The 20101-nt window shown below is 45.3% G+C and overlaps 1 protein-coding gene across 2 annotated transcripts; it reads left to right on the top strand.

Moving 5' to 3' along the window:
- Positions 703 to 19791, top strand: SERPINA6 (serpin family A member 6). 2 transcript variants are annotated; one of them, NM_001756.4, is made up of 5 exons: positions 703 to 772; positions 9372 to 10003; positions 14033 to 14303; positions 17821 to 17968; positions 19436 to 19791. In NM_001756.4, exons 2-5 carry the CDS (start codon positions 9391 to 9393, stop codon positions 19619 to 19621), a joined length of 1218 nt encoding a protein of 405 aa, NP_001747.3. In that variant the 5' UTR covers positions 703 to 772; positions 9372 to 9390; the 3' UTR covers positions 19622 to 19791. The 2 variants fall into 2 exon arrangements, with proteins under 2 accessions (NP_001747.3, XP_047287783.1); XM_047431827.1 differs by having other exon boundaries at positions 9372 to 10152; positions 14011 to 14303.

Raw genomic sequence — 20101 nt, 5'->3', positions numbered from 1 at the left:
TGCCTGAAGTCCTTTCCACCCTTGGACCTCTCATTCATTCCTTTTTGCTTTAAAGCAGTTCAAATTTGATGTCTGTCACCTGTAATCCAAAGAAAACTGATGAAAAATAAAATGTGGGGAAAGGGGAAGGTGCTAGACTTTAGAATTGAATGGCCTTGGATTTGAATCTCAAGGGCGTTTAACTTAACTTCCATGCAGCTCAGTTTCCTATCTAAAGAGGAGTGACAATGGTACCCACTTCACAGAGTCATTGTGAAGATTTCGTGAGATAATCCAGAGGAAGCGCTTGGCAGATATTATTCCATGTCTGTCTCTCCCACCAGACTAAGACCACTGGAAGGCAGGACCTTGCCCAAGTCATCCCCAATTGGAGCTAAACACCTATTTTTCTTTTTACAAGTATCTGCACCTTGGTGCTAATTAAGGGCACCTAAGACATCTCTGCCAACTGACACAGGGCAACCACATTGATGCAACTCCAGCCACATTTTGGTATTAAAAAAAGACTTCATAGAATTGAACGCAGAGCAAAGTTAATTTGCAGCATTTCTGTGTTTACTCAGCTATCCTGACAAAGCCTCCCATTGGTTAATGACTCGGGGGAGAGGACTACCAAGCGGTGAAGGCCACTGGCCCCTCTAACCATTAACCACCCAGGAAGCTGGCAAACAAAATTTAACAGGCAGCATCCACCGCAGGCTTACTGTACACATGCTAGGGTCCAGGACAGCAGGACCAAGCCAGCAGAAACAGCCTGAGCCCACCGCAGACTGTGAGTAACACCTGAGAACCCTCTGTCCCTCCCCCTGCCCAGCCTCCAGAGCAAAGCCATGGCTGCAGCTCGCTTGTTTGGTTTGTTGAGATGCTTTGTTTTTTTAAAGGGCACATTGAACATTAGGGCAGCCAGCAGTGTTATGAGGCAATCTGGTTAGGATTTTCCAGACCCCGGAGTCTGTGAGTCATCCACAGGGGTTCCGATGTCCCCTGGGTTCCTGCCATGCAGGGGGCTGACACAGAGGGCTGTAGCTAAGAACCATTCTCGTCCACTGCCATGATTGATGCTCCTAAGCCCAGCCAGATAGCCACAACAGCCACAACAGCCACAGAGTCGCAGCCTGCAAGCTACAATGCATCTGCTCCAGTCGGCACCACCGATGAAGGATGCTGGCCGCGGGTCAGGGCCTGGGAGGGCTCAGCTGGCCCAGTGCAGGGGTATTCTTCTGAGTCACGCAGACCTGTCTCCACCATGGCTCCTCACTCAGTGACCTGGGGCAGAGATAATGCACAGAGAACAGAACTGTCTGCACTGTACCACATGTCATGAGGTTTCACTACAGAAGGTCAAGAACTGTGCCTGGCTCATAGGGCATTTGTGAAAACAGAGAACACAGTGAATATTTACTAAGTGAGTCTCTTCAGAGATGAGGAACAAAGAGGGCATACTTGACATGAAATGCATGAATAATATTGATACTCTGCATTTTTATATGGCTGGGTACTTTTTTGTTTGTTTGTTTGTTTGTTTTTTAAGATGGAATTTCACTCTTGTTGCCCAAGCTGGAGTGCAATGGTGCGATCTCGGCTCACTGCAACCTCTGCCTCCTGGGTTCAAGCTATTCTCCAGCCTCAGCCTCCCGAGTAGCTGGAATTACAGGCACACACCATCACACCCAGCTAATGTTTTTGTATTTTTAGTAGAAATGGGTTTCGCCATGTTAGCAAGGCTAGTCTCGAACTCCTGACCTCAGATGATCTGCCCACCTCAGCTTCCAAAAGTGCTGGGATTACAGGCATGAGCCACCACACCTGACCATGGCTGGGTACTCTTAAGAGCTGCTTTACTCATCATTTTGCTCTCTGTAGAGATAGGCAGAATGGCATGGCACAAGCTCCGATGTCAGACATCTAGGCTTAGAATTCCAGCTCAGGGGGAGTTACTCTGTCTCCCTGGATCTCAGTTTTCTCATCTGTAAAATGGGCCCCAGGATGACCCATTAAGTGAGGTCACATAAGCCAAGCACTGATAACAGCCACGTCTGGTATTCACAACAATATTGTGGGGTGGATGGAGTTTTCACCCTCATCTTAGAGAATTAACGCAGGAGAAGGTGAGACATGCAATCTCCCCAGAGCTGGCAGGGGAGCCCATCCTACCATTGGCATCATACCGCACAGGGCCTGTGCCTGAGAGGAGATCCCAGATAGGTATGGCAGTGACCAAAGCTAAGCAAAGATTTCACTGCCTGTCATGGGGCAAGGCCATAGAGAAGCACAGATACAAGGCTTCCTGGAGGCGGTGACCTGGGACCTGAGTCTCAAAGGACAAGATGGAGTGAGCCAGATGAGGCAGGGAGATGAGGGACCTACAGACTGGAGCCACATAGGCAGGACTGAGGCAGATCCATCTTTGTTCCCTGCTCCCAGTCCAGAGCTGGGCTCAGCAAACATGGAAAAATCAAAATGACCTGCCCTGGGGAACTGCAGTGACCTGTCTTGCTGTAACCTGCCCTATAGTGATGTGACATGCCCTGCCCTGCCCCACAGTGGGAGAAAAGGCTGATGTGTGCTGGAAGAACCCCTGGCACCCAGTGTTGCTGTGGCTGAGACCCCAAAGGGCCAGATTTGAGGCTGGAGGCAGAACTGTCACCAGGGACTGGGTCACAAAGACCCCCTGGGCTACATTAGTGAGAATCAGCCCTGTGGTGGGCAATGGGGAGTCCCTGAAAACTTCAAAGCAGAACCGATCAGCTTGAATTTTTGAGAATTTAAAAAGATGCAGCTGCAGATGGGTAAAAGGGCTGGAGGGAGTTGAACAGGAGGCAGGGAGACGAGGTAGGGGCTACTGCTGAGTCCTGAGAGAGATGAGGAGGCTGTGCAGAGGCACTGGAGAATAGACAAACACCAGAAAAATGGGTAAGGCTAGAGGTGTTATTATCAGCTCTATTTTATACTGTGGAAACTGAGGCAGAGTTTAAGTAGCCTGTCCCACATCACCTAATTCATACATGGCAGTGCTAGGGCCCCAATCCAGCTTGATCTGCCACGAAACCCAGGATCTTTTCTGGGTTTCGCGACAAAAGAATTGTCGCGAGGACCCAGAAATCCAAGTCAGAAACCCGATGGAGAATTCAATAAAGCCCATCATTTGGGTGCGGGGAGTGGGGAGCAGGTCACACCTGCCTCTATTATCTAAAGCAGAGAACTAGGGGCTAGAGCAGCCAACAGGGGTTGTTTTCCACCCTGGTGAGATAAGGGAGACACGCAAGGAGGGTTTTGGGAGACTCAGGAGAACTAAGGGTTTTGCGGGGGAGTTCCCACCTGTCATTCTTGAGATTCTGCTTTTGGAACACACCAGGGAAGGGGCCTCTAGGGAATTCCAGAGCAGAACAGTGGTTCCCACGCTCGGAGCGCACCTGTTAAAAGAAAACTTTAGACAAATTAAACGTAGCAGAGTTTATTTGAGCAAAGAAACAATTCATGAATCACACAGCACCCTAAACCAGTAAAGGTTCAGAGAGTGCCACCCAGCAACGTAGGCAGTATTTACAGGCAGAAGAAGGAAGTGACATACACACATAGGCTGATAGGTTACAGCTCTGTGTTTGCCTTGTTTGAACATGTCTGAGCAGTTGGCAGGCTGTGATTGACTGAAAGTTCAGCTGCTATGATTGGCTGAGACTTGGTTACTTGTTACAAACATATACTCTCAAGTTAGGTGCAGTTTGTTTACATATTAAGCTAGGTTACAGTTTGCTACATGAGGAGGCAGCTTTAGCCCATCTTTAATTTAATTTAACACAACACAACCTCCTGGAGCACTGGTTTAAATGAGGGTTCCCAGCCCCTCACCCAGAATGGCTGGTTCAACAGTGGGTGGTGCAGTAAGACCTGCTTCTCCTGTAAGCATCCTGTATTTATTGTGATACAGGTAGCTCCACACAGCACAGGGCCTGAAACCACTAACCTTGCAGGCAGGCAGTGTCCACCGACTGATTCCAACCTTGGGTGGATTTTTTTTAATTGCTCTTATGGAACTCTTTTTAAATCATTTATATTTAATTTTTTCCTTAAATTTGTATTGTGGGAAAATATAATACCTAACGTTTTAACTACAAGCATACAGTTCATAAAAGTACATTCACATTGTTGTGCCACCATCACCACCTTCCATGTCCGGAACTTTTTCATCATCCCAGACTGAAACTCTATACCCACTCAACAATAACTCCCCAATCTCCCGTTGCCCCGGCCCCTGGTAACCACAATTTTACTTCTGTCCCTAGGTATTCGGCTACTCTAGGTGTAGAATTAGACTCTATTTGTCCTTTTGTGTCTGGCTTATTTCACATAACATAATGTCTTCCAGGTTCATCCATGTTGTAGGAAATGTCAGAATTTCATTCCTTTTTAAAGTTGAATAGTATTCCATTGTATGTTTATACCAGACTTTGTTTATTCATTCATCCATTGATAGACATTTGGGTTGTTTTCATCTTTTGGCTATGGTGAATAATGCTGCTGTGACTTTGGTCTACAATTATCTTTTCAAGTTCCTTGACTAGCTGCTTGCAGTTCTTTGGTGTATATACTCGAAGCAAAATTGTTGGGTCAAATGACAATTTGTTTAATTTTTAAAGAACTGTCATATTGTTTTCCACACATTGTAGCACTTTATATTCCTACCAGCAATGCATAAGGGTTCCAATTTCCCCACATGCAATGCTAACATTTAAATTAAAAAAAAAATTTTTTTAAAGGAAATCTTGCTATGTTACCTAGGCTGGTCTCAAACTCCTGGCCTCAAGCATTCCTCCTGCCTCAGCTTTCAGAGTAGCTGGGATTACAGGCACGGGCCATCATGCCTGGTGTGCCAACTTATTGTTTTCTGTTTTGTTTGTCTGTTAGTAGCCATCCCTGTGGATACAAAGTGGTATCTCATTGCGGTTTTGATATTCCTAATGATTAGTGATGCTGAGCATCTTTTCATGTGCTTACTGGCCATTTGTATGTTGTCTCTGAAAAGATGTCCACTCAAGTCCTTTGCCCATTTCTAACTGGGTTTATTTGTTTTGTTGTTGTTCTTGGGTTTTAGGAGTTCTTTATATATCCTGGATATCAATTCCTTATCAGATATGAAATTTGCAAATGTTTTCCCATTCTGTGAGTTGCATTTTTACTTTATTGATAGTATCCTTTGATGAACAAAGTTTTCAATTTTGATGAAGTCCAATTTGTTTATTTTTTATTTTGTTGCCCATGGCTTTGGTGTGATATTCAAGAAATCATTGCCAAAGCCAACATCATGAAGTTTTTCCCCCATGTTTTTTTCTAAGATTTTTATAATTTTAACTCATCTTTAGGTCATTGATCTATTTTGAATTAATTTTTGTATATGGTGTTAAAGGTCCAATTTCATTATTTTGCATGTAAATATCCAAATTTTCAGCACCACTTGTTGAAAAGGCTGTCTTTTCCCCATTGAATGGTCTGGCATCCTTGTCAAAATCATTTTACTACATATGAAAGGCTTATTTCTGGGTTCTGTATTCTATTCCATTGGTCTCTATGTATGTCTTTATGCCAGTACCACACTGTTTTGATTATTATAGTTTTGTAGTAAATTTTGAAATCAGAAAGTGCAAGACTTTCAACTTTGTTCTTCTTCAGTATTGTTTTGGCTATCCAGGTCCCTTGAGATTTTTATATAAATTTTAGGATAAATTTTTCTATTTCTGTGAAATACAGAACTGGAATTTTGATAGGAATTGCATTGAATCTATAGACTGCATTGGATAGTATTATCATCTTAGCAATTTCTTCCAATCCATGAATGCAGGATGTCTTTCCATTTATTTATGTCCTCTTTAATTGCCTTCAGCACTGTTTTGTACTTTTCAGTGTATGTCTCTTACCTCCCTGATTAATCCCTATTTTATTCTTTATCATACTATTGTAAATGGAATTGTTTTCTCAATTTCCTTTTCAAATTGTTTTCTTTGTTAGTGGTGGGAAATGCAATTGATGTTAGTGTTTTGATTTTATATCTTGCAACTTTGCTAAATGTGTTTATGAGTTCTATAGAATTTTTAGGGTTTTGAACATATAAGATCATGTCATCTGTGAACACAGACAATTTTACTTCTTCTTTTCAAATATGGATACCTTTTCTTTCCTTGCCCAATTGCTCTGGCTAGAAATTCCAGTGCTATATTAGGTAAAAGTAGTGAGAACAAGCATCCTTGTTTTGTTCCTGATCTTCGGGGAAAAGCTTTCAGTCTTTCACTATTGAGTATAAAAGGTTTTATAAATACGTAGTCTTGATTATGTTGAGGTAGTTTTCTTCTATTACTAATTTTGTTGTAGGACTTTCTACTTAGTCCAGCTAAACACGGGGTCCTTGTCACATGGCCATGAAAGATTAGGCTCACAGACACTTTGAGGTGTGAATAAAATGGAATTTATTGGGTGAAAAGGAAAACAACTCAGCAAAGCAAGAGAGAGTCCTGTTAACAGGCCCTCATCTGACTGACTGAATCCCCAGATTACCACATCGGATCAGGAGAGAGAGGCCAAGCTCCTCCCCGCTGCAAAGGGCACAAACTTCCCACAGCTCCACCCCATTCTCCCAGTGTGCAGGCCAACTGAATGTTCTCCAGGCACCTCTTTACACTTGACTGTCTCAATCTGCTGTGTGTTTTTATCATGCGAGGGTGTGTTGAATTATGTCAAATACTTTTTTCTGCACCAATTAAGATGATCATGTGATTTTTTCTTTTATTTTGTTAATATGATGTATTACACTGATCAATTTTTGTATGTTGAAACATCCTTGCATTACAGAAATAAATCCAAATTGGGTATGGCATATAATCCTATTAGTAGGCTCTCAAAATTAATTTAATCCATTATATTAGTCAGGGTTCTCCAGAGAAACAGAATCTATAGGATATATAGAAATATATATAAGAGGAGGCATTATGGGAATTGCCTTATGTAATTACAGAAGCTGAGAAGTCCCACAATCTGCCATCTGCAAGCTGGAGACCCAGGAAAGCCAGCCATGTAATTCAGTCTGAGTCTGAAGGCCTGACAACCGGAGGAGCCAATGGTGCAGCTCCACAATAGGAAAAGGGCCTAATAAGGCTGCTGGTTTAAGTCCCAGAGTTTAAAGGTCCAAGAAGCAGGAGGCCCAGTGTTCAGGGCTGGTAAACACAGATGTCCAGCTCAGGGACAGAAGAGAGAATTTGCCCTTCTCCTACCTCTTTGTTCCATTCAGCCTTTAATAGATTAAAAATGCCCACCCATATTGGTAAAGGTGGCTGTCTTTAACTCAATCCACTGATTCATATGCCAATTTCTTCCAGAAATACTGCCACAGGCCTCTTTTATGTAGGCACTAATTCCTTTTATGAGGGTAGAGCCCCCATGAATAGGTTTCCACATATGAATTTGTGGGGACACAAACATTCAAACCTTAGCAGCTGGTAAAACATTATTTTTGAGTGTGTCTGGGACAAAATAAATTGAGCAAAAATGGACATAATTGAAGGGTGAAATCGTTCTACAGCAATTTAGACACTTCAATATCTCATTCTCAATAATGGATAGAACAACCAGACATAAAATAAGTAAGAAAATAGAGAACTTGAATATCACACTAAAAGCTAGATGTATCAGACCTATACAGAACACCCTACAACAACAGAATACACATTCTTCTCAAGTGCAAATAGGACATTCTCCAAGATAGACCCTATGTTAGGCCACAGATCAAGAGTCAATAGATTTTAAAAGACAGATATCATACTAAGTATCTTCTTCAATCACAATGAGATGCAGTTAGAAATCAATAACAGAAGGAAAACTGGAAATTTTACAAATTGTGGAAAAAACAACACACTCTTTATCAACCAGAGGATCAAAAAAGATACCACCAGGGGAATTAGAAAATACTTAAAGACAAACGAAAATGGAAACACAACATACCAAAACTTATGGAATGAGTGAAAGCAGTGTGATGATAGAAATGTAAAGCTGTAAACACATTAAAAACAAGAAGATCTCAAATAAACAATGGCATATATTCAAATTCAGGTGTTAACTTTAGGATGCTAATGTAATCCCCATAATAACCACAAAGGGATGAGAATAGAATTATTAAAGTGTTTCAATACAAAAAAGCATTTCAGTACAAAAACTAAATACAAAAAAGGACAGTAATATAGGAAATGAAGAACCAAAAATGTTATATCTTCTTGCTGTACTGAAAACTTTATTAATATGTCATTGCCCTGTCTTTTGGAACTTTTTTAATTCAAAATCTATTTTGTCTAATATTAGTGTAGTCACCCCTGCTCTCTTTTGATTACTATTTGCATGGGGTAACTTTTCCATCCTTTCACTTTCAGTCAGTCTATTTACATTTTTGGATCTAAAATGAGTCTCTTGTAGACAGCATATATTTGGATCATATTTTAGAAGGCTAATGTGTAAAAATAATTTTTAGTCTTTGTTTATAATTTAGAGACTAGAAAAAGAGCAAACTAAACTGAAAAATAGCAGAAGGAAGGAAATAATAAAGATTAGAGCAGAGATAAATAAAATCAAGAATAGAAAAACAATAGAGAAAATAAATTAAACCAAAATGTAATATGTATGCTCATAATACATTTAGTCCATAGTATATTTGATATAACCAGCTTTACTTCAATAGCATACAAAAGCTCTGCTTCCTTATAGCTCTGTTCCTGTTTCCAGTTACTGATGTAACAAATTATATCTACACATCATGTGCCCAAAAACATAACTTATAATTGCCCACGCATCTACCTTTACCAGAGGTCTTTTATTTCTTCATTCAGCTTAAAGTTACTGTCCAGTGTCCTTTCATTTCAATCCGAAATAAAATGCCTCTCATTTCTTGCAGGGTAGGTATTGTGGAAAAAAGCTTACTCAGCTTTTGTTTTTCTGGGAATGCTTTAATTGTGTTTTGCTTTTCTTCCAGCATTTTGAACATATCCTTTGGGTGGGTTTTAACCTTTCTGAGCACCTATTTCTGCCTGCCTAAAATCATGTTAATAATACTTGCTTTAGGAGTGTTTTGGTAATGGTTAGATGACTGAATATAGCCAGACTACCTAGATCAGTGTTGGGTACCTGTCAGGCACTGGATAAATCATAACGGCTGTTATTCATATCTCCAGATGAGGAAACTGAAGTCCAGCGCCCTCTGTGATGTGCTCCAGGTCACACAGCCAGTGTGGAGGAAGGAACTGGGGCTTGAATGGGGTCTTTTGCCTGCCTCCTCTTGCACTACGCCCCATTGACTCAGAGACTGCCACAGCATCTAACAAGCTTTTCTGATTTGGCAGGGCCTGGCTATACTGGACAATGCCACTCCTCCTGTACACCTGTCTTCTCTGGCTGCCCACCAGCGGCCTCTGGACCGTCCAGGCCATGGATCCTAACGCTGCTTATGTGAACATGAGTAACCATCACCGGGGCCTGGCTTCAGCCAACGTTGACTTTGCCTTCAGCCTGTATAAGCACCTAGTGGCCTTGAGTCCCAAAAAGAACATTTTCATCTCCCCTGTGAGCATCTCCATGGCCTTAGCTATGCTGTCCCTGGGCACCTGTGGCCACACACGGGCCCAGCTTCTCCAGGGCCTGGGTTTCAACCTCACTGAGAGGTCTGAGACTGAGATCCACCAGGGTTTCCAGCACCTGCACCAACTCTTTGCAAAGTCAGACACCAGCTTAGAAATGACCATGGGCAATGCCTTGTTTCTTGATGGCAGCCTGGAGTTGCTGGAGTCATTCTCAGCAGACATCAAGCACTACTATGAGTCAGAGGTCTTGGCTATGAATTTCCAGGACTGGGCAACAGCCAGCAGACAGATCAACAGCTATGTCAAGAATAAGACACAGGGGAAAATTGTCGACTTGTTTTCAGGGCTGGATAGCCCAGCCATCCTCGTCCTGGTCAACTATATCTTCTTCAAAGGTATTCCCACCCATCCCCATCTGAAGGCCCATCCACTATGGCCAGGAATAACAGCCGCTAAAATCCAGGGCACACTCTTGGGCAAAGTCTTTGATTCTGTAAAGCACATACACATCTGGGAATCTCCATCTTCACCACAATCCTGCTGGGTAGGTGGAATTATATTATTTTACAAAAGATCAAAATGACACCCAGAAGGGTTGAACAATGTGCCTACATTCTGGCAGGTTGGTTTGAGGCCCACACCTGTAACCATGAACAGTCTGGCTGCTTCATGCTCCACAAATGCTGACTGTCAAGCACTGGGCCAGGGACTGGAAAAATGGCCTAGAACTAGACAGAACCCCACCCAGCCCCTTGGGAACTCCCAGATGCCCCCAAAGCCATCCTGCACACACTGCTCTGACCAGGTCCTGCTTCAGTTTTTCAATCTTCCTGTTCATAAAAACCTGGAAGCTCTAGGGGGGAATGCACTTCCAGGCTTTTTCCAGCTTCTAGAAGCCACATGGCCTGTGGGCCTCTCTTATTTTCAAAGCCAGTAATTGCAAATTCCCACCTCTGCTTCCCTCATCACATCTCTCTGATTCTGACTTTCCTGCCTTCCTCTTTGACTTACAAGAACCCTCAGGATTACACTGGATAATGGCCCACCTGGGTGATCCAGAATAGGCTGCCCATCTCAAGGCCAGCCGATTAGCAATTATGATTCCCTCTACAACTTTAATTCCCCCTGGACATGAAAGCTAACATATTCTCAAGTTCTGGGGATTAGAATGTGGACATTTTGGAGGGCTGTTATTCTGCCTGCCACAAAGCCCAGGCCTCTTCTGTCTCATGAGCCCTCTTGCAACTTATCTGACTGCCTAAAACATCTTCCCTCACTTCAAATCTTAGCTCAAAAGTCACCTCCTCTGTGAAGCCTCCCCAGAGTCACCCAGGAAAGACTTTGCCCTCATATGCATGCTCAACAGTTTGCCCATGCCTTGTTTGGGCAATCATCTTGCCATAACATGTTGTTTAGCACCCAGGTGGTTGAGTTTCAGTTAAGCAATCATATTCAAAGGAATGCAGGTAAAACAGCCAAAATAAGCAAACTAAGCCAGTATCTCTACTGAACATGTGTCTCTCGACAAGATCATCAGATCAGAGGAGATGTGATCCCCAGCCAGGACCCCTCATGCCCCCTTCCCCTCCTCCCCAGCTCTCTCTCAGGACCTCCCATCAGACTGTGCCCACCTCCCCTCCCATCCCGCACCTCCTTACTGCCTGGACTGCCTTAGCATCTCTACGAGTCCTTCTTCTCTACCTGCCTCTGGGTCTTTCCTGCTCTCCAGCACAAGGCTGGGAACTCCCAGGAGAGGCCGCCCTCTTCGCAGGATGGTGAGGCTGAGAGGCTGACCAGGCAAAGGCAGCCTTCCTAACACCTGACTATGGGAGGGCCAGGGAGGCTGGGAACATTTGCCCAGAAACTCTTCTGTGTGCTCCCACAAATTCCATAGACCATCTCCCCCACGAGACTGTGCACTCTTGTGCAGGGTATCTTTGTCTCTTTGGGAGATTCCAGTGCCCTTGTTTAATGCTTGGTGCATGGAACAAGCTCAGCAGTGGTTGCACAGAGGTTCAGGCAACACAACCTGGGGAAAAGGCACAGTAAACCCAGGTGCAGGGAGGGCCCTCCTGAGCCTGAGAGATGCCTGAGCACATGTGGTGGAATGGGTGTTGGTGGAACGGGTGCTGGCCTGGTGTCATTCTGTACGAGGTTTCACAGTGTCCTCAGGACCACAGTGGGGCTAAGTGGATAGGAGATCACAGCTTTAGGTTACAAAATCAGAGAAACTTGGAACACCTGAATGCAGGACCAGACATTGATGGAGATGAAATGCCTCATTGTACACAGATTTTCTATAATACAACAAAACGAATCCGTGAGTGTTTGGTTAAAACTTTTGGCAAAATACTCTGAAATATTTCTAGCAAGCCAGGATAATAAACAGAAATCAAGATTAGTGTAGGTATTATCACTAAATGTAGAATATGTAAAATGGCCCTGATGTGTTATTTATTTATTTATTTATTTTTATTTTTTTTGAGACGGAGTCTTGCTCAGTTGCCCAGGCTGGAGTGCAGTGGCAGAATCTTGGCTCACTGCAAGCTCCGCCTCCCGGGTTCATGCCATTCTCCTGCCTCAGCCTCCTGAGTAGCTGGGACTACAGGCACCTGCCATGACACCCGGCTAATTTTTTTATTTTTTTGTATTTTTAGTACAGACAGGGTTTCACCACGTTAGCCAGGACGGTCTCGATCTCCTGACCTCATGATCCACCCGCCTCGGCCTCCCAAAGTGCTGGGATTACAGGTGTGAGCCACCGCACCCAGCACCTGATGTGTTATTTATCGGACTTTCTTGACAGTTTTTTTTTAATAACATTAAAAATATTGTTAAAAGATTTTCCAGAGGAGCCATCCTTGCTCTCTCAGATCGTCCCCAATAAATTCTTTCTCTACCACCAATTCTCCTAGAACTTTTTGAGAATAGATCCCTTAAAGTAGAGGCTGAACCCCATTTTGTATTTTGTTTTGTGTCAAACTATATACATTATGCTTACTCCTAGAAAAGAAATACTCCATAAAAAGCAAGCAGCAAAATGTTAAGGACGAAAAAAACCTAACAATGAAAAATATTTTACCCACTTTGTTTTTTTGCTGTAAGTTAGCCACAAAATACAACTGCCCTCTGGTTCTGAGGATTTTAGACCTCCTTTGGAGGATGATTTGAGAACCCTCAAATAATCTCATTTGCCGTGAGACAGACGGACGGTGAGTTTACTACCATTGGCCAGTGTCTGCAGACATCAAGGTTAGTGAGGTCATTAAGAAGGGACCAGCATAGCTCTGGTGTCTCTAGACTCCGCAGCCATGGCTGATTTCTCTACATCCATCAGCCTCTCCCTGTTGTCTCCATAAGTAGCTATTACAAAAGGTTTGTGGCTGGCTTAGAACCAAGAATTTTGGCTGAGCAATCCATAGATCCCACAGACAGTAGGATGGAGAAAGGGCTACCTGGAGTGATGTTCTGGCCACCTTTAGGGAGCCTGGGCTGGGAAATGGTGGCCTGGCAAGGGCTTCAGGGCTTGTGGTCAATGGCAGCCAGGACACCTGGGATCTGCTGGACTCAAGGGCCTCAGTCATCACTTTAAGACTGGGGAGACGTCACCTAGAGCAGAGAGACCCTGTGACACTCAGCCCAGGTAAGTTTCCTGCAGGTGGACTCAGTTGTCTGGAATAAGTTCAGAAGAACAGAAGAGGTCCTGCTGGTGGCGGACAATCAGGCAGGCTTTGGCTCAGTCTGAGGAGCAATTTTCTTCCCATCAGAGCTGACGAGTACCGCCAAGTCCCATCTGTGAAGGTAGTGAGCTCTCCATCTCAAGGCAAAAAAACAAGCTGGATGGTGGCACCCTGGAACATGGTAGATGGGACTTGAGGGCCTGCTGGGGGTGGGAGTCTGTGACCCTGAAGGAGTCTTCTCACCCTGACTCTTCATTAGGACAACGTGGCCTAGAAGGAAGGACCATTCAGCAGGGTCAGGAGCCTCAGCTGGGCCGGCCAGGCTGGCAGGGGTGGAGATGGCCCCCTCGCTTCCCACCAGGGACTCTGAGTTTGAGACTTGAGGTCTAGCACCACTTCCAGAGCCCTCAGAACTGGGACCCACTCTAGGCATGGGGAGCCAAGGCACAGTCTGACCTACCCCCAAATCCAAGGACCAGTACCCTCTTGGTCTCTCCCTACTTCCTTGTTTAGAAGCCAGTCTCAGAAACAGAGCTCATCCTCAACCCATTCCAAGAAGTAGAGGATGAAACAGGATTTAAATTTCTGGGAATTTTTATATCTTACCTAAAAACCCTTGAGGCTTGAATGGGGACATTCCAAGCATGCAGAAGGCCACTGTGTCACTTGGATAGTAGGCCCGTGAGATCACCTGGAACTGTGTTTTCCTCTCTGCCCTACAGACCTGTCTCCTCCTCTTCCTAGGCACATGGACACAGCCCTTTGACCTGGCAAGCACCAGGGAGGAGAACTTCTATGTGGACGAGACAACTGTGGTGAAGGTGCCCATGATGTTGCAGTCGAGCACCATCAGTTACCTTCATGACTCGGAGCTCCCCTGCCAGCTGGTGCAGATGAACTACGTGGGCAATGGGACTGTCTTCTTCATCCTTCCGGACAAGGGGAAGATGAACACAGTCATCGCTGCACTGAGCCGGGACACGATTAACAGGTGGTCCGCAGGCCTGACCAGCAGGTAAGTCCTCCAGCCATCATGTTGATTTCTGCAATGCACGTGTCCCCAGAAAGTGGGGCACGTGGAAAGGGAGTATGCTGGGGCATCCTTCCTTCCCTGGACTCACCCTCCAGGGCTCAGTTTTCCTGTCTGCTGGGCCCCCAAAGGCTGTAAGTTTCCCTAATCTAGAGCTCACGCTTATTTATTGATCTGTCCATCAACACTGAAATACTTTGGGGCATTTCACAGAGTGAGGTTCCCTTTCCCTGTGAGGTTCATACATACCCTCTGCATTGTCATATTTTTGTAGCATTTTCTTAAAGTAAGTTCACCAACCACCCAGCTACACACTTATCTGTTTTGTTATCTTGCTTACCTGAAACCACGCCCTGCTAAAGATTCTTGGAAGACCCCATAGAAATATAATGAAAATGATAATGAAATGTATACATCATGGAGCCAATGCAAAATCTATGAATGGTTCTTAAGTTACTCAGGGCATCTAACTCTTCAATCAATCAATCATCAGTAAACAACTAAGAAAGCAAGGCTAAAGTAGGTAATAAGCGAGTAAGTAGAAAGAAAGCAAGGGCTGCATATCCTGAAGAGGCAGTAGCCAGGAGGAGAAGCGGCCAATGGATTCCCTCTATCTCTGACCTCAGGCCCAAGCAAGGGGCTGGTGCAGGGTTGACACTCAGGCAAGGTCAGCTGAGGATGTGAGTCAGCAATGAATGAATGAATGCCTGAATGAATGGATGGGTGAGTGAATGGATGGAAGAATGAATGAGTGAGTGAATTAATGGATGAATAAGTGAGTGAGTGCATAGAATGGTGAGTGAGTGCATAGAATGGTGAGTGAGTGAATGGATGGGTGAGTGAGTGAATGGAGAATGAGTAAATGAATGGATGAATGAATAAGTAAATGGATGCATGAGTGAGCGGATGGATGGGTGGATGGTTGGATGGATGGACAGATGCACAAACAAATGAGATTTTCCCCCTAAGCACCCCTGAGCTAGACAGTAATTGAAATTATTGTCATGCAAGTGCGCAGCCCTGCTCCTCACCTTAAAGGAGGAAGGAGGTGTTCTTAGAACATGGTCCTCACTCTCAGGGAGATTCAAGTTCCATCTGTGCAGAAGGGTCAGAAAATGCCAACCAGCATGAAACCTGGTGGCAGGGGGGCTGATGCAGACTCAGAAGCAGGGGGGATGCTGAGGAGAGAGTGGGAATGTAGATCTGGAGTAGCTCAGGAAGGCTGGTGGATCAGGCAGCATTTCATTCACTCACTCACTCATTCATTCATTCAATGTGCATTTCATTCGCTCATTCATTCAATGCACATAAACGGAAGCACTTGCTATGTACCATGCCCTAGCTAAGCACAGGGGATGGAGTGGTGAATAGGACAAAACAGAGCCCTTAAAGACATGCACTCTAGAGCAGAAAACAGATTCTGGTGGAATTAATAGTGGTACGACAATGTGAGTTCTGAGAGAGACAGACAGAGATATGTAACATGCCACTGGTTGGGAGGTGGGAATGCCTGACTCTGCCCGGGAATGGGGAAGGGCTGCAGAGCAGGTTGTTTTCCCTTGAAACTGCTTTGAGTGTGAATGGAAGTTCAGCCAGGGGGAAGTGGCCTCCAGACCCGACATGAAGTCAGGGGACCATGCCCAGAGTGCCAACAATGCAGGGCCAGCAGTAATGAAGACAAATTTGGCTTGGACAAATGTTGTGGTCTAAAAATTTTGCAGTAGATAATCTAGGAGGAAGCTCCTCTACTTTATTAACATGTAGGTTTTGTGGTTTATGGTTTCAGATTGTTTTCATTTTGAATGATACCTTCAGAGATCTATTTGATGCTGGGTGCTTCTAGAGAAGTTCATCCAGTTCTGTGAATGCACATGGAAGTGTCTGGGAATTTGACTTCTCTCCTGTAGGGAAGTCATGTAGTCAGCCCTGTGTTTCTGAGCAATCCCCTATAGCTATGTGGAGGACACAGTTCTTAAACCATCCATAACTACGCTTGAGTGTGTACACATATATATGCGTGGGTGTGAACCTGTGTCTGGGCGATGCTAGGGATCCATTTGCCATCTCTTCCTCCTTTCTACCCACCAAAGAAAACCTGTAATTTAGGTGTAATACCACAAGGGGGTGATAACGCACCATGATGCAAACAATGCATTCCAGCTCATACTCCACTGAAAATGACGGGAAGGACTATCTATCTTTCTTTACACCAAAAATAATCTTTTCATGAAAATACTTCAATGTGAGCAACATTAATCAATAATACATAACTTAAAGCCCCATCACCTTGCTCTCAGAGAGCTGTCAACAACGCAGCAGGCGGCAGATGGCAAAACTAGTCCTGGCCTTTTCAGTTCTGTTGCCTCCCAGTTGTGTGACTTTGGGGGAATTCCTCAACCTCTCTTAAGTGTTGGTCTCTCAACCTGGAAATTAAAGATGTTGATTCCGACTTCATAGGTGCGTATGTGTGTGTGTGCACATGCATGTGTGAGAGAGACAGAGAGAGGAGAAAAAAAAAGTAAAGAACATAGACCAGGTGTTTGGGATAAATTGGTCTCCCTTCCTTTCTTTCTGTTACTATTTCCGCACCTGGAGAAGGTACACACCGACTCGCCTCTGGTTCTTCTCCCTCTCCTTTAGAAAAGGGCGGCTTCCACTTCACGCAGGATGGTTGCCAGCCTCCGGGCCTCACTCAGGGCTGCTTTTGCTCAGTGAGGAGAGGGTCTCGTGCCTTCCCTCCCATCTGCCAAGAGAGCCGGTGCGAGTTCACTGACACCCCTCAGTTTCAGTGTTTTAGACATCTGCTCTCCCTCTGGGGAGAAGGCACAAGAAGAATTTAAAAATAACACTAAGGCCTTGACATGTTAAAAAGCGTAGATGCCCGTGCTGCCCCTAGTGTGACCCCACTTACCTTTCTAGAAACCCCACCTGCTTCATCTGGTAGAAACTGCCAGCTGAATCAGATTCTTGCAGAATCACAGAGATTTCGCACCCACCTGCCCTGGGAGAGCCTGTGTTCAACCACCTTTGTGTGCAGGTGAGGACATTAGCACAGAGAGGGGCTGGACTTGGCAAAGGCCACACAGCATTAGTGGCACAGCTGGAGCCAGGGACCACTGCTCCCAGCTGGGCACTCCCTCCAGTCCTCTGCTTCTAGCAGGGGTTCTCCTGGGACTAAAAAGGCTTCATTATGGACTATTGTCTTAAATGCTCCATGGTCCAGCTGCATCCCAGGTGGAATCAGCTCGAAGGAATTGCAGAGAAGAAAAGAATGTGCAATTCAGAGGCCCCGTGGGAAAGCTGCCTGTGTCATGGAGGCAGAGACAGATCCTGCCTCCTGCTCTGTCCCTTCTCCTACCCACAAAGAGCAAGTCAGGCTGGAGGGCAGGAGCTGGAGGGAGCGCATGAGGAAATAAGAGTCTGGCCAGGAGAAGAGGTGCTGCTCTCCCCTCTGCCAGGCCCAGCCCTGGAATGTCTAACTCTGTCTGCTTACCCCGAGCAGCCAGGTGGACCTGTACATTCCAAAGGTCACCATCTCTGGAGTCTATGACCTCGGAGATGTGCTGGAGGAAATGGGCATTGCAGACTTGTTCACCAACCAGGCAAATTTCTCACGCATCACCCAGGACGCCCAGCTGAAGTCATCAAAGGTAAATGTCATGGGAACCCACCTTTTCTTCCCCCTCCAAAATTCACAATATAAATATAATACTAGGAAGTGGCACTGAGTTCGTTCATGAATGAGCCTCTAGGTCCCTGGCTGAGAACCCCAGGTTGAGTCAAAGCCCCTTGTCTCACCATGAGGTAAATGGAGGCTCAGCAAGAAAACATGACATCCCCAAGATCACACAGGAAGCTGTCGACACAGGAGGGCCACAGGCCAGGCACCTACCCATCCCACCAGACCACACAGAGGGGAACTGTGAAAACCAAGTTGTCATGGCAGAGCTGTGAGTGGCCCCTGGCAAAAAGAAACAGGAAAAGTGGTAAATGTCTAATTGGGATCATATTGAGCCTTCTACCCAATTACATCCATTCAATTACATAAATCCTTCAGCTTTATGTTCTGTTATTCATGCATTCAGAAAATGTTTACTGAACACCTACTATATATCCCAAACTGTGTAGGCCCTGTGTATGCCCCCGTTACTCAGATGTGTGGCCCCTGACCTCAAGACACAGGACTTTGTGGCCTCCGTGGTACCTGGCACGTAATATGTGCTCAGTAAAATGCGTGCTGTGTGAGTGGATTGAGTCAACACAGCTGCCTTCTCAGAAGGCAGGTATTATCCCAATTTCTCAGATGAGGAATCTCCTGCTCAGGGAGGGTATGCAGCTTCCCCACAGTCACAGAGCTAGTAAATAACAGTTTGATGTTTGATCTCAGGCCTGTTGACTCAAAACCTCATCTGCTCAAGACACACTGCAGGGGTTCCAATCCCAGCTCAGCTTCTTCCTAGCCATGGGTGCCACTCACAGAGCCACCAGAGCCTGAGTGTGCTTGCTGGAAAGAGTCGCTGGAAGTTCCCACCCCTTAGGGTGTTGTGAGCTCACCAATATCACCTGTTACTTATTTAGCCAGGTTATGAGTTACCAGAGTCTTTTGATACAAGCTAGGCAGACGTTTTGCTGACTTCAGAACTCCTCCTAATTTTGATCACAACAAGGACATATCAACAGTCAAAGATTTACATTTTTAGATTCTGCCTCAGCTTTCCCAAACAGAACAGACATAGGCACTTTGCATAACTTGAACCCTAGCATTTACCCAGCAGAGTGGAAAGGGAGCAAGATCTCCCTCCGCTACCCCAGGATGGTAAGAAGCGCCCAACATGGACAGTGAAGCCCAGTTCAAGCCATGAGACTTCTAATCTCCATGTGATGGGCCCAATCTGCCCTTTGAATAGGAAGTGTAGGTGCGGCCCAGGTTCTGGAGGTGGACAGACTTGGGCTGTGTAATCCTGGGGCTGCCACTTGGATAAGAATCCAGCAAGTGACCTTCTCTGACCCTGGATTTACCTTCCTAAAACCAAGGATGTGAAGGGTCCCAGCAATGAGTCAGGAAAGCGAGAACGCACAGCAGGTCTCACTACCCATCTTCATTCTGTACCTAACAGGTGGTCCATAAAGCTGTGCTGCAACTCAATGAGGAGGGTGTGGACACAGCTGGCTCCACTGGGGTCACCCTAAACCTGACGTCCAAGCCTATCATCTTGCGTTTCAACCAGCCCTTCATCATCATGATCTTCGACCACTTCACCTGGAGCAGCCTTTTCCTGGCGAGGGTTATGAACCCAGTGTAAGAGACCACCCACCCAGAGCCTCAGCACTGTCTGACTTTGGGAACCAGGGATCCCACAGAAATGTTTTGGAGAGCGGGAGGTTTCCCCCAATCTCCTCCAAGTTCTTCTCCCTCCAACCAGAGTTGTGTCTAACTTTAGGCATCTTTTAATAAATGTCATTGCGACTCTGATGACCGGTGTGGTTAAAGAGAAGGGCAGGGGCGTTCTGGAGGTTACTGTGTTAAAGTGGTGTTTGCAAATCCCCAGGCCTGGCATCTTCATCCATGTGGGCTGCCATAACAAAGCACCACAGGCTCATGAACAACAGAAATGCATTTTTCACAGTTCTGGAGGCTGGAAGTCTGAGATCAGAAGCCAGCCTTGTTGGGTTTTGGGGAAGGTCGCTTCCTGGTTCAGGGGTGGCATCTTCTGGCTGTGTCCTCACAAGGCAGAAAGAGCAGAGAAAGCTCTCTGGGGCCTCTTTTATAAGGGTCCTAATCG

The sequence above is a fragment of the Homo sapiens genome, chromosome 14 (genome assembly GCF_000001405.40).
Source record: "Homo sapiens chromosome 14, GRCh38.p14 Primary Assembly".
Lineage (NCBI taxonomy): Eukaryota > Metazoa > Chordata > Mammalia > Primates > Hominidae > Homo > Homo sapiens.
The sequence above is the reverse complement of the archived record's forward strand: the minus strand, read 5'-3'. Positions and strand labels throughout refer to the sequence as shown.

What these genes read in the sequence shown, in the direction of transcription:
- SERPINA6 (XM_047431827.1), top strand. Translation starts at nt 9,391, where the DNA reads ATGCCACTCCTCCTGTACACCTGTCTTCTCTGGCTGCCCACCAGCGGC. An exon ending in TCCGCAGGCCTGACCAGCAG is followed by an intron (nt 14,304 to 17,820) that starts GTAAGTCCTCCA and finishes TACCCCGAGCAG; the next exon opens with CCAGGTGGACCTGTACATTC. An exon ending in CCCAGCTGAAGTCATCAAAG is followed by an intron (nt 17,969 to 19,435) that starts GTAAATGTCATG and finishes TGTACCTAACAG; the next exon opens with GTGGTCCATAAAGCTGTGCT.